Here is a 14,006-nt window from a genome sequence, read left to right as displayed (position 1 = left end):
CACTTACCCTTCCCTGCACTGGAGCAGGCACTCTTTTCCTAGCTGGAACCAGCCCGGTCGGCAGGAGTGGCACTGCCTGCTGTGTCTCCCTTCACATGTCCTGCAAGAGCTGTGGCAGTGGGCACACCGGTTGCTGTCCTCATCGGCATAATAGCCCTCTGGGCAGTCCTTCACACAGGTTGTGTCTGTCATGGGAGAAAAAATGTCTATTTGGACATCGAGCATGACACATGTCTCCCCTGTATTTTCCCTCTTGTGTACCATGGCGGGAGGGAGGAGAGGGCTGCAGGAGGAATGGGATGATCCTGTGAGCTGATGGATATGTTTGGGAAATAAGATTAGTGTCCAAGAAACAGAATTGCCCTAAGGCCATGAGGAATACAAGGAAAACAGAAGTCAGTGATATGGTTTGGCTCTGTGTCCCACCCAAATCTCATCAGTGATCCCATCTCATCTCATCAGAGATCCAAATCTCATCTGTGTCCCACCCAAATTTCTCAGTGGATTAGCTGTGGTGGGTAGAACAGAAACTACAGTCCGGCGCCTGTGGATGTTGGCAATGGCTCATTGTCCAGCTCATGTATCTGGTTAACTAGGGGGAAGCCCCAGCTTCCTGAAGGAAAAACACCGCCGTATTAGTCTCTTATTGCTGTTCCTATGAAGTATCCCCAACTTGGGGCCTTGAAACAACAATTTATTATCTTACTGTTCTGGAGGTCAGAAGTCCAAAATAGATCCACAGGGCTCTGTTCCTTTTAGAGGCTCTAGGAGGGAATCTGTTTCCTTTCCTTTTCCACTTGCTAGAGTCCACCTGCATGCCTTGGCTCATGGCCCCTTCCTCTGTCTTCAAAGGCAGCAGTGCAGTAGCTTCTCTCTGTCCCTCTGCTTCTGATCACATCACCTTCTATTACTGACTCTGATCCCCTGGCATCTCTCTTTTTTTTTTTTTTTGAGATGGAGTCTCACTCTGTCGCCCAGGCTGGAGTGCAGTGGCACAATCTTGGCTCACTGCAAGCTCCACCTTCCGGGTTCACACCATTCTCCTGCCTAAGCCTCCCGAGTAGCTGGGACTACAGGCACCTGCCACCACACCCAGCTAATTTTTTGTATTTTTAGTAGAGACGGGGTTTCACCGTTTTAGCCAGGATGGTCTCGATCTCCTGACCTTGTGATCCGCCCACCTCGGCCTCCCAAAGTGCTGGGATTACAGGCGTGAGCCACCATGCCTGGCCCACCCCCGGCATCTCTCTTATCAGACCCTTGTGATGGCATTGGGTCTACGTGGATAATGCAGGATAATCTCTCTATGCCGAGATCCTCAACTAAATCACTGCCCCAAAGTCCTTTACCAAGTAGAGTAATACATTTACAGGATCTGGGGATCAGGATGTGTCATCTTCAGGGGGGCCATTATTCAGTCTACCACGATGTCCAAAAAAAGTATCTAATTTATAAATAGCCTGACCCTGGTGGTGTGGTGGTGTGGGACAGGGTAGAGAGAATGTGAGGATACCAGGCTGAGCAAATCTGCACCCATTTCCCAGGGGGACTACAGCTCTGTGTCCTATACCAGCACTGAAGCCTCAATTCTAGTCTAATCTGCAGCCTCGGATGAGGGGAAGACCACTTTGTGGAGGCAAGCTGTCTTCTCTATATGAAGGCATCTGAGATGATTACTGGTGGCACTCTAGATTGGACGTAAGTAGAAAAGAAGGTCCGACGGGGTGGGATTACCTGGGAGACGTGGCTGGAGGGAATGCTTTTATGAAGCAGCAACTGCTGGGAAGGAGAGTCACAGAGATTTGTGGACCAGGAGCTAAGGTAGATGGATAGAGAAGACTGGTCTCTTTGAGTGTTTTCTATTGTGAAGTGATCAGGAATGGTATTGAGAATAGGTCTCCCTGTGTCTTAGCAGGGGGATGGTGTCCTCGCTCAATATGAAGAGGAAAAGCTTGCCATGCATGTCTTTAAAACATTTTTTTTTAATGTTTAAAATTTTTAAATTTAAAATTTTAATTTTTTTCCATTTTTTGTAGAGATGAAGTCTCACTATGTTGCCTAGACTGGCCTTGAACTCCTGGGCTCAAGCAATCCTCCTGCCTCGACCTCCCAAAGTGCTGGGATTACAGGCATGAGCCACTGCGCCCAGCCTACCACACATGTCTATTTGGAGTTTCACGCTTCTCAGGTCTACTCTCCTGGTGGGGGAGAAAAGTGCTCATACTTCCTGGTCTTCACCATATTCATCTCTCTCTTCTGTCTCCTATGACTTCTTTTTTAGTTAAGTTTTGTTTCATTTTCTTTCTCCCATGCTTGTTTTAAGCCTAGTCACAGTATCCCTGGGAACCTGAGGACATTGTTTCATATTAGCAATAACCTTCAACTCTGATCTGTGGGACCGTGGCCAACCTTGACCTGTGCCACTTTTTGCTCAAGAGGGATTTCTTAATCAACCATGCTAAATGGAGGGGAAATTTTGATGAGGAGCTGAATATCTACATGTTCTTAAAGTGTAACCCCACAGGCTACTTATTAGTTACAAGGGAATAAATAGTAATTATGCAGTAGGGAAACTGAACATCTTGGCCAGGTGATCAACATTAATATCACCGAGGAAAGGCATGTGGAGATCACGTTCCTCCAGGTGTGACTCTCGGAGGATACAACATCACTTCTGAAGTATGCTGGCCAAGCATGCACACTCTGCAACTGATCACGGGCAACTTCACAGTCACCCGAAAGGAAAAATGAAGACTGTATTTTTCCTTTCTTTTCTTTTTTTTCTGAGATAGAGTCTTGCTCTGTTGCCTAGGCTGGAGTGTAGTGGTGCGATCTCGGATCACTGCAACCTCTGTCTCCCGGGTTCAAGCGATTCCCCTGCCTCAGCCTCCCGAGTAGCTGGGACTACAGGTGCCCACCACCACACCTGGCTAATTTTTGTATTTTTAGTAGAGATGGGATTTCATCATGTTGGTCAGGCTGGTCTTGAACTCCTGACCTCATGATCTGCCCACCTCAGCCTCCCAAAGTGCTGGGATTACAGGTGTGAGCCACCGTGCCCAGCCAAGACTGTATTTTTCTAAAGCATTGATATTGTGAAAGAAAAAGAAAGTGTGTGGAAACATTTCATATTAAAGGAGGCTAAAGGGACATGGAAGGGCCTGGCATAGTGGTTCATGCCTGTAATCCCAGCACTTTGGGAGACTGAGGCAGGAGAATAGCTAGAGCCCAGGAATTCAAGACCAGCCTGGGGAACACAGTGAGACCCTTGTCTCTAAAAAGAAAAAAAAATGGCTGGACATGACATGGAAGGGCCAGGCATGGTGGTTCATGCCTGTAATCCCATCCCATCTACTTGGGAGGCTGAGGCAGGAGGATCTCTTGAGCCCAGGAGTTCAAGGCTGCAGTGAACCATGATCGTGCCACTGCACTCCAACAGCCTGGGTACTGCGCCTGGCCAACTTGTCTCTTAAAACAAAAAACAAACAAACAAAAAAGTGGCCGGGCGCAGTGGCTCACACCTGTAATCCCAGCACTTTGGGAGGCTGAGGAGGGCAGACTGCTTGAGGCCAGGAGTTCAAGACCAGCCTGGCCAACATGGTGAAACCCCGTCTCTACCAAAAATACAAAAAAAAAAAAAAATTAGCCGGGAGCGATGGTGCCCACCTGTAATCCCAGCTACTCAGAAGACTGAGGCATGACAATTGCTTGAACCCAGGAGTCAGAGGTTGCAGTGAGCCGAGATCATACCACTGCACTCCACTCTGAGCAACTGAGTGAGACTCCTTCCCAACAAACAAACAAACAAAAAAGGGACATGGAAGCTAAATGAAACAACTGACTCTAGCCTGAATCCTAAAGGGGCACTGAGAAAATTGTAATATGGATAGTATATTAAAGTATTGTATGAATGTACAATTTATTAGAGTTGATAACTATCCTGCGGTTATGTAAGAAAATATCACTAATCTGAGGAAATAGGCACTAAAATATTTATGGGAAAGGGGCCATGATGTATGCCTTCAAATGGCTTCGAAAAATATGTATTGGGAATGATGTACATGTATACATTGAGAGAGTGAGAGGAAGAGAGCGATAGAGAGAGAGAGAATGAGTGAGAAGGGGGGAGAGAGCCCACGAACAAATGATAAAGCAAATGGTGTAGAAGATGAGCAATTTGCGAACTGGATGAAGCACATCCGTGCGCTGTTCTTTGTACAGTTCTTACTCTTGCATCTTTTCTGCAGGTTTGAACATTTCCCAAACACAAAGCAAAAAATCAAAAAGAAAGAAGCCAGTATCTACTGGACAAGGCAGTGTGCAAGGCAGTTTCCCAGAGAGATGGAAACACAAAGCTGTCCTCGGAGAAGTAACTCACTGAGAAGAAGGCTGTTCATGGGGCATGTTTGACACTGGTCCTCCGCCGGCCCCATGCAGTGGAAGCACTTAACATGGCAGGGCTTGCACCCGGGAGCATCCTCATCCCAGTACTCGGAGGGTGAGCACTTCTCGTTGGCCATGCAGCTCCCACGAGGGTTCATGATCAGGCCTTTCTGACAGGTGGTGCAGGTCCCAGATGATGAGCAGGTCAAGCAGGACTTGTGGCAATCTGTGGGCGTGGAGGGGCAGCAGACAGAGTGAGCGAGAGCCAGGGTGGCCCTCGTGGGAATGGCTTCCCCTGGGAAAGGGTCTTCACATTCCTTTCACATTTCTTCCGGAGATTTCCAGAGCTCTGGGCCAATGGTGTGGGGCCATGAGTTGAGTACAGCCCTTGAGCTCTGGGGTGGACCATTCTTTTGCAAAATGAGAGAAAATTATTATTTTATTTTCTCTGTTGTATCCAGAGAGGGCTTTCCTGCAATAGCCATCTCAGAAATATTAGTAAGGCTCACTATAATTACCCAAACTGCAACAAAATAATAACAAGCCATTCTGTAATGGCATCGAATTTTCCACCGTCACAACACCTACTGTTATGGTCCTCCACTCACCTCCGGAGTACCTTGAGCTTATCACGAATACAGCAATTGTTGGAATGTATTTAATTGTCTGTTGACAAATAAAGGTCCCTTTTGCATTTATTTTTGAATACATAGTGCCTATGAGAGGGCCTGGCATGTAATAGGAATCGATAAGTATTTGTTAAAAAAAGAAAATAACAATTATCTTCCACCTCTAGGTTTTCTTTTTCTGTATTTAACTAGAGACGGGGGCTGGGTGCAGTGGCTTACGCCTGTAATCCTAGCACTTTGGGAGGCCAAGGTGGATGGATTGTTTGAGCCCAGGAGTTCGAGACCAGCCTGAGCAACATGGCAAGACACTGTCTCTAGAAAAAACACAAAAATTAGCTGGGCATGGTGGCGGGTGCCTGTAGTCCCAGCTACTCAGGAGGCTAAGGTGGAAGGATCTCCTGAGCCCAGGAGGTCAAGGCTGCAGTGAGCTGTGATTGCACCACTGCACTCCAGCCTGGGTGACAGAGTGAGACCCTGTCTCAGGAAAAAAAAAAAAAAAAAAATAGAGATGGGCCTTCACTTTGCTGCCCAGGCTGGTCTTGAACTCCTGGCCTCAAGTGATTTTCCTGCCTTGGCCTCCCAAAGGGCTGGGATTACAGGCATGAGCCACTGCACCAGGCCGACCATCTCTGGGATTTAGTAGTTGCCATTCTGTCTGCCTGCAATTCTCTTCTCCCAGAGGCATGCATGGTTTGCTTCCTGCCTTTCTCAATGAAATCTAAGACATCTCTCAAGTTTTATCTCCATCCTGCCTATCTCCCTGTCCTGCACCTCTGCCTTATTTTTGCTCTTGGCTTATGGTCGTTAGTACCTGTCTTCCCTAACAGAATGTGAGCTCCATGAGGGCAGGGACTCTGTCTCACTCCCTGCTGTTCCCCAGACCTGAAAGAGCACACGGCACATAGCAGGCCCCCCTGTAAGCATTCCCTGGGTGGATACATGCATGGTATTATTATTGTTTATATTATCCTCTCATTTTATCTAAATCAGGAAATTGAGGCTGGAGATGCTAAGTCACTTACGCTAAGTAGTATCAGGAGTTGAGCCCAGGACCTTAGCAACTGCCTTGCTGCTTCTGCTCCAGTGCTTCAGGAAAGGTATGGGACTTTTAGAGGTGTCTGTACTATCTATTACAGGATAATCTGGGTGATTGGAATGGATCCAAAGTCCTTGTGTTTCTTAGAGAAGATCCTGCTTACAGATTTTTTTTTCTTTTTTTTGCTATAGGTTCTTGCTCTGTCACCCAGGCTAGAGTGCAGTGGTGTGATCATGGCTCACTGAAACATTGACCTCCCAGGCTAAAGTGATCCCCCCATCTCAGCCTCTTGAGTAGCTGGGACTACAGGCACACACCACTACATCTGGCTAATTTTTGTATAATTATTTTTGTTTTAGAAATAGGGTCTTGCTATGTTGCCCAGGCTGGTCTCAAATTCCTGGACTCAAGAGATCCTCCTGCCTTGGCCTCCCAAAGTGTTGTTGAGATTACAGATGTGAGCCACCGTGTCCGGCTGAGATTGCTCCATTCTAAACGCTTCTCTACACTTCCCCAAATCTTAATTTTCAGATCAGGTTCTTTGTATTATCTCTCTGGAAAGTCAGGTTGTCACTGTTTCTTCCAATACCACATTCCTTCCCCTCCCTTTGGTCTGGTAGAAAGTGCAATGGCGGCCGGGCATGGTGGCTCACGCCTGTAATCCCAGCACTTTGGGAGGCAGAGACGGGCAGATCACCTAAGGTCAGGAGTTCGAGACCACCCTGACCAATATGGAGAAACTCTGTCTCTACTAAAAATACAAAATTAGCTGGGTGTGGTGGCACATGCCTGTAATCCCAGTCACTCGGGAAGCTGAAGCAGGAGAATCTCTTGAACCAGGGAGGCGGAGGTTGTGGTGAGTCCAGATCGCGCCATTGCACTCCAGCCTGGCAGCAACGAGAGCAAAACTCCGTCTCAAAAAAAAGAAAGTGCAATGTCATTGTAGGGAGACACCTCAAGTGAGTTTCCAACTCTGTCCTCACTAGTGGGGTCACATTGAGCAAGTGCTTAACTTCTCAAAGCATCTGTTTCCTTCTCAGAAAAATGCAGAAAATTGCCATTTACCTCAATGGCTCTCAACCCACACTAAGCATCAGAATTACTGGTGGTGGGAGAAGGAATTAGAATGTTGGGTGCAGGCATCTGTGGTTTTAAGAGCTGCCCAGGTGATTCTAATGGGCAACCAGGGGCCTTTCTCAAGGAGATAATTAAATCAGATAAATTAAGAAAACATACTCTGAGACCTGTAAAGCTCTCTGTATGGTAAATTACTTTCATTATTCAACACCAGAGAAAGGCCAGAAGTTGAACCTCAGTTCCTGCCCTCGCAGAGGCAAGATGGCGCTGGAGGCCTGCTGCTGAGTCTCTCACCTCCCAGAAGCCATTCCCAGCTCCACAGCCTGCCTCCCACACGAACACCCGCCTCTTCTGCATGCGGACACAGCCTTGACATCCACGCCTTTTCACATATGGGCAGGTAGGACATTAACACTAAATAGTGCTTTATATAAAACACACAAAAAGACATATCCACAGCACAAGGCTGGAGCAGAAAGCCTTCAGGACCGAGACACATCTTCGTGTCCTACTAAAAACCTTCCCCTCAGTATGTCCTAGGGTGTGGGTGTCCCAGGGTTTCTCAGTGGAAGGTCACTCTCAGGCTCTCGCGGTTGTTAGGGGAATTGCCTCTGGACATCTATCTTGTCGTGTTTGCTTGGGGGCGACATGTGGGGGTGAAGGACCTCAGGCTGCCTCAACAGAGTGAATCCTGGGCTCTAGAAAAGCCCCCGCCCCACAACATTTCTCTCACTTGCTAGAGAATTCTAGAGTGCATAACTTATTTTATTTTTCTGTTCCTTGATAATGAATAAGAGGCAAATGATTCATGCCGAGTTAAAACATAAGGAGGTATAAATAATAGCAGATCCTTTCTTGAACATGCAGGGACTGAGTGGGAGTGGAAATGGGGACCTTGGAGCAGGAATTGAAGGATATGAAGAGGAAGGTGGGGAGCTTCCAGGGAGCAAACCATGAAGGGAGGCTGGGCGCGGTGGCTCACACCTGTAATCCCAGCACTTTGGGAGGCCAGGGTGGGCGGATCACTTGAGATCAGGCATTCAGGACCAGCCTGGCCAACATGGTGAAACCCTGTCTCTACTAAAAATGCAAAAATTAGCTAGGTGTGGTGGCAGCCACCTATAATCCCAGCTACTCAGGAGGCTGAGGCAGGAGAACCACTTGAACCCAGGAGGTGGAGGCTGCGATGAGCTGAGATCATGCCACTGCACTCCAACCTGGGCAACAGAGTGAGACTCCATCTCAAGAACAACAATAACAAAATATGGACCGAGCGCCATGGCTCACGCTTATTATCCCAGCACTTTGGAAGGGCGAGGCAGGTGGATCACTTGAGGTCAGGAGTTCAAGACCAGCCTGGTCAACATGGTGAAACCCCCTCTCTACTAAAAATAGAAAAATTAGCCAGGCGTGGTGGCACACGCCTGTAGTCCCAGTTACTCAGGAGCCTGAGGCAGGCAAATCGCTTGAACCCAGGAGGCAGAGGTTATAGTAAGCCAAGATCGTGCCACCGCACTCTAGCCAACAGAGTGAGACTCTGTCTCAAAAAAAAAAAAAAAATCACCCAGGAAGGGAGACAAGAGGCACCAAGAAAGTCCCTTATGGTGTCACAATTTGCTTGTGTTATCAAGAAAAGTCTCAGGTAGCTTTTGAAGGCTCCTCCTCTCTGCTGTAAATCTTTATATGATAACTTCTTTTGACCAGCAGTTCATAGCCACTGTTGTGAGGAAGGTCCACGTGATTTGTCACTAATAAAAGTTACCTGTACAAAGCTTATGAGTGATTCATTTAAAGATTATTTACAACCGGTTCAAAATATGCCTCCTTGAGTGAGATGGTAAAGGATGAGATGGACTGGTCATGGTGACTCACACCTGTAATCCCAGCACTTTGGGAGCCCAAGGCAGAGGATTGCTTGAAGCCAGGAGTTCAAGACCAGCCTAGGCAACATTCTGAGACCTCATCTCTATGTTCCCAGCAACTCTGGAGGCTGAGGTGGGAGGATCACTTGAGCCCAGGAGGCGGAGGCTTCAGTGAGCCATGTTCGTGCTACTGAACTTGAGCCTGGGCAATAGAGGGAGACCTTGTCCCAAAACAAAAACAAAACACAACAAAAAAAAGATTGAGATGACAGCTCTGGCGCTGGGGCTGGGGCTGGAACTATGCAAACCCCGGAGCCTATTTTGAATCCCAGAAGTCTTTACCTCTGCACTCCTTAGTCTCCTTTTCATAATAGGTTCCTGCTGGACACTCCTCCAAGCACAGTCCATCATAGAGGACCCAGGAACTCTCAAGACAGAGCTCGCAGTCGTCGGCTTTGGGGCCACTGCACTCCAGACAGTCTTTATGGCAGGGGACACAGTGGCGCGAGTCTGCATAGAAGCCACGGGGACAGGACTGGTGGCACATATCATCGTGCAGGAAGAACTCAGGCGTGCACTCTGGGAAAAGGAGGAAGCAGCAAGTTATCCCCGGGGGGTAGGAGAAAGGAATTCATTGTCTGCAGTAGGCTAGCTCCTCCCTCAGCACTTTGGTTGATTTGACCTGAGAGTATGCTTGCCCTTTACCCACCCTGCCAGGGCATAGACTTGATGTCTAACAAGCCCTGCCTTGGGACAAGGAGGCCACACATGGTGACCGTATTAGATGGTGCTGGACTTACACAATGAAATGGTCTGCCCTTTGGAGGTGCAGTGCAAAAATTTGCAATGCTGCAAAAGACAGGGATGGCTGAGAGGCTGGCGGTATTGTTTGAAAAACCCGAAGAGCATTAACAGATTTAAAAAATTGTATTGAGAACCTCACACTGTTTTCAACACAGAAAGCAGTTTAGGAATGGTTGGATTAGTTAACTTTTCATTCATTGATCAGGTACAACAATGAATACAGGATTGATCAGTGTGAAGAATACATTGCGGGTTTATTTTTTTTGTGTTCATTTTCTTACTTTGGGGGGAATCCTGGGAAACACTTGAGGTCACACCAAGAGAATACTTTGGATAGGACAGCACCAGTTAAATGAGTCTGTCTTATTCTGGAGAGAAAATTGAACAGCTTTTTGGGGGAGATAATTCCTGAGGGAAAAAAACAACAAAATTCATTCACAGCCAGAGTGGTCATCTCAGTCATAGTTGCCCGAACTTTTCTTTCCTATCCTTTTTAACAACTGCAGTTTTCTAGCTACCTCTGTGTTTTGTGGCTTACTATCAGTCTGTAAGATTTTGTGTTCCAAAAGATGGGAACAGCTGGGCGTGGTGCCTCACGCTTGTAATCCCAGCACTTTGGGAGGCTGAGGACGGTGGATCACCTGAGGTCAGGAGTTTGAGACCAGCCTGACCAACATGGAGAAACCTCGTCTCTACTAAAAATGTTAAAATTAGCCCGGCGTGGTGGAGCGTGCCTGTAATCCCAGCTACTCTGGAGGCTGAGGCAGGAGAATCGCTTAAACATGGGAGGCAGAAGTTGCAGTGAGCTGAGATTGAGCCATTGCACTCCAGCCTGGGCAACAAGAGTGAAACTCCATCTCAAGGAAAAAAAAAAGATGAGAACATTGGGTTCTTCTCTGTACCTCTAGCACCTAGGATAGCACTTGCACATCTGCTGTGTGTGTACATATGGGGGTGAGTGTAAGAGATCATGCAAAAAGGGGCTCTTGCTTGTCTTAACTTGCAGCATCCATAATGAAAAGGGTGTATCTCACCCTCAGTTTCTCTGATGACAGGCACAGAGACATACCTTTCAGGAATGGTAGGGAGACTGGTTCCCACAGCTCTTTGCCATCCACCCTCAGATAATCGGCCCCCAACTGGTGGCTCAGCAGAGCCTTGCTCTCCTGTGGGAAGCTCCTAGGTACCTTTGCATGTTTTCTCATGGATGCAGTCCTGACACATCTCTGGGCAATGCTTGCATACCCCCTTCACAGCCACGTGCCTCTCGGGGCAGTTTTCCTGGCACACTCCGTGGTGCAGGACGTGGCCTCCTTCACAAGAATGGCAGTTGGTGGCGTTTCCTTCACATGTTCTGCAAGGAGAGCTACAGCGTTCACATATGCCGTCTTCTGCATAAGAGCCCCTGTGGAAGGAAGACAGAGTGCAACTGGAGAAGCTGACCTGCTGGAGAAGTGACTCATTCCTGGGGAAAAGGAATTAGGTCTAAAAACAAAAGGGCTGCTGCTGTCGTCAGCTGAGAGGCATCCATGGGATTTATAAGGAAGTGAAAAGAACATTCAGAAAAATGGAAGGAAAAGGACAAGCATTATTCTTGTGAAAGGAAAATAAATCTTGGGACCCCAGTATTACTAAGCCAAAGGGAAAAATCAAGCTGGGAACTGCTTAGGGTAAACCTGCCTCCCACGCTATTCCTTAAAAAGATAGCTAACTGGCCGGGTGTGGTGGCTCACGCTTGTAATCCCAGCACTTTGGGAGGCCGAGGTGGGCAGGTCATCAGGTCAGGAGATCGAGACCATTCTGGCCAACATGGTGAAACACTGTCTCTACTAAAAAATACAAAAATTAGCTGGGTGTGGTGGTGCACGCCTATAGTCTCAGCTACTCGGGAGGCTGAGACAGGAGAATCACTTGAACTCGGGAGGCAGAGGCTGCAGTGAGCCGAGATCATGCCACTGCACTCCAACCTGGTGACAGAGTGAGACTCTGTCTTAAAAAAAAAAAAACAAAACCAAAAACCAGATAGTTACTAAGATTTTAAAAAGCTACAATGGGTTGGGTAGGGTGGCTCATGCCTGTAATCCCAGCACTCTGGGAGGCTGAGGTGGGTGGATCACCTGAGATCAGGAGTTTGAGACTGGCTTGGCCAGCATGGCAAAACCCAGTCTCTACTAAAAATATAAAAATTAGCCAGGTGTGATGGCTTGCGCCTGTAGTCCCAGCTACTCGGGAGGCTGAGACAGGAGAATTGCTTGAACCAGGAAGGCAGAGGTTGAGGTGAGCCAAGATTGTGCCACTCCACTGCACTCCAGCCTAGATAACAGAGCGAGATTCTGTCTCAAAAAAAAAAAAAAAAAAAAAGCTACAATGTACTTTTTTTTTTTCTTTTTTTTTTTTTGAGACAGAGTCTTGCTGTGTCACCCAGGCTGGAGTGCATGGCACGATCTTGGCTCACCACAACCTCTGCCTCCCAGGTTCAAGCGATTCTCCTGCCTCAGCCTCCTGAGTAGCTGGGACTAGAGGTGCGTGCCACCATGCCTGGCTAATTGTTTTTGTATTTTTTTAGTAGATACGGGGTTTCACCGTGTTAGCCAGGATGGTCTGTAGGGTCCAGCCTACGGTGCTTATTAGCAGGTGTTCTCCCCGTGTGTGGAGACGAGAGATTGTAATAAATTAAGACACAAGACAAAGAGATAAAGAGAAAACAGCTGGGCTCGGGGGACCACTACCATCAAGATGCGGAAACCGGTAGTGGCCCCGAATGGCTGGGCACGCCGATATTTATCGCATACAAGACAAGTGGGCAGGGTAAGGAGAGTGAACCTTCTAAGTGATTGACAAGGTGAAGCAAGTCGCGTGATTACAGGATAGGGGGCCCTTCCCTTTTAGGTAGCCGAAGCAGAGAAAGAAGGCAGTGTACGTCAGCGTTTTCTTCTCTGCACTTATAAGAAAGATCAAAGACTTTAAGACTTTCACTATTTCTTCTACCGCTATCTACTATGAAGTTCAAAGAGGAACCAGGAGTGCAGGAGGAGCATGAAAGTGGACAAGGAGTGTGACCACCGAAGCACAGCACCACAGGGAGGGGTTTAGGCCTCCGGATGACTGCGGGCAGGTCTGGATAGTATCCAGCTTCCCACAAGAAGCTGGTGGAGCAGAGTGTTCCCTGACTCCCTCAAGAAAAGGAGACTCCCTTTCGCGGTCTGCTAAGTAACGGGTGCCTTCCCAGACACTGGCGTTACCGCTCGACCAAGGAGCCCTCAAGCGGCCCTTATGTGGGCGTGACAGAGGGCTCACCTCTTGCCTTCTAGGTCACTTCTCACAATGTCCCTTCAGCACCTGACCCTATACCTGCCGGTTATTCCTAGGTTATATTAGTAATGCAACAAAGAGTAATATTAAAAGCTAATGATTAATAATGATTGATAATTGTCCATGATCATCTCTATATCTAATTTGTATTATGACTATTCTTATTCTAACTATTTTCTTTATTATACTGAAACAGTTTGTGCCTTCAGTCTCTTGCCTCGGCACCTAGGTAATCCTCCGCCCACAATGGTCTTGATCTCTTGACCTCGTGATCCGCCCACCTTGGCCTCCTAAAGTGCTGGGATTACAGGCGTGAGCCACCGCGCCCGGCCTACAATGTACATCTTACATATATTGATTGATGTCTCATGTCTCCCTAAAAAGTATAAAACTAAGCTGTGCCCTGGCCACCTTGGGCACATGTCATCAGGAACTCCTGAGGCTGTCATGGGCATGTGTCCTCAACTGTGGCAAAATAAACTTCCTAAATTGACTGAGACCTGCCTCAGATATTTGGGGTTCATATTCTTGTGAATTTGATTGGTTTGAGAACAATTGTTGTTAATTTGTGTATAGTTTAGTCATCTTCTCTTTTCCCTATGTGACCCAAGTTTTATTATTTTTTTCTTTTTGTTAGAGCCTAACTTTAAAGTGGAAAATATTTTTTATTCAATTAATAAATTTTAAAAACATTTAATAAACAATAAAAATTTCCAAAAGACTCAAAAGGGTTAATGCCCTGTAAGATTGGAACCACTGGATGCTGTCAACCAACCTCTGATGACTTTTTTCAAATGCATACATATGAACATTTGCACACAGCACTAAACATATTTTGAGTACCAGCGTGTTTGTGCAAATCACCTTCTTCCAGGCGGAATCTTATGTCTGTGTATATAGAAC

The 14,006-nt window shown here is 47.2% G+C and overlaps 1 protein-coding gene and 1 long non-coding RNA gene across 6 annotated transcripts in view; one reads left to right on the top strand and one right to left on the bottom strand.

Moving 5' to 3' along the window:
* Positions 1-14,006, bottom strand: part of PCSK5 (proprotein convertase subtilisin/kexin type 5) — a 473,167-nt gene that overhangs the window by 30,358 nt on the left and 428,803 nt on the right. For all 5 annotated transcript variants that reach the window (XM_047423454.1, NM_001372043.1, XM_011518769.4 and 2 more), the window contains 4 exons: positions 10,979-11,196; positions 9,330-9,566; positions 4,379-4,609; positions 8-185 (listed from right to left, as the gene is read on the bottom strand). In XM_047423454.1, coding sequence (XP_047279410.1) covers positions 8-185; positions 4,379-4,609; positions 9,330-9,566; positions 10,979-11,196 — 864 coding nt within the window. The remainder of the gene's footprint in view (positions 1-7; positions 186-4,378; positions 4,610-9,329; positions 9,567-10,978; positions 11,197-14,006) is intronic.
* Positions 1,065-5,081, top strand: LOC124902183 (uncharacterized). The gene is made up of 2 exons (XR_007061583.1): positions 1,065-1,698; positions 4,248-5,081. It is a non-coding gene; the product is annotated as an uncharacterized LOC124902183 (long non-coding RNA).

Source organism: Homo sapiens, chromosome 9 (assembly GCF_000001405.40).
Source record: "Homo sapiens chromosome 9, GRCh38.p14 Primary Assembly".
In the NCBI taxonomy this organism is placed as follows: Eukaryota; Metazoa; Chordata; class Mammalia; order Primates; family Hominidae; genus Homo; species Homo sapiens.
This window is presented reverse-complemented; position numbering and strand designations above follow the sequence as displayed.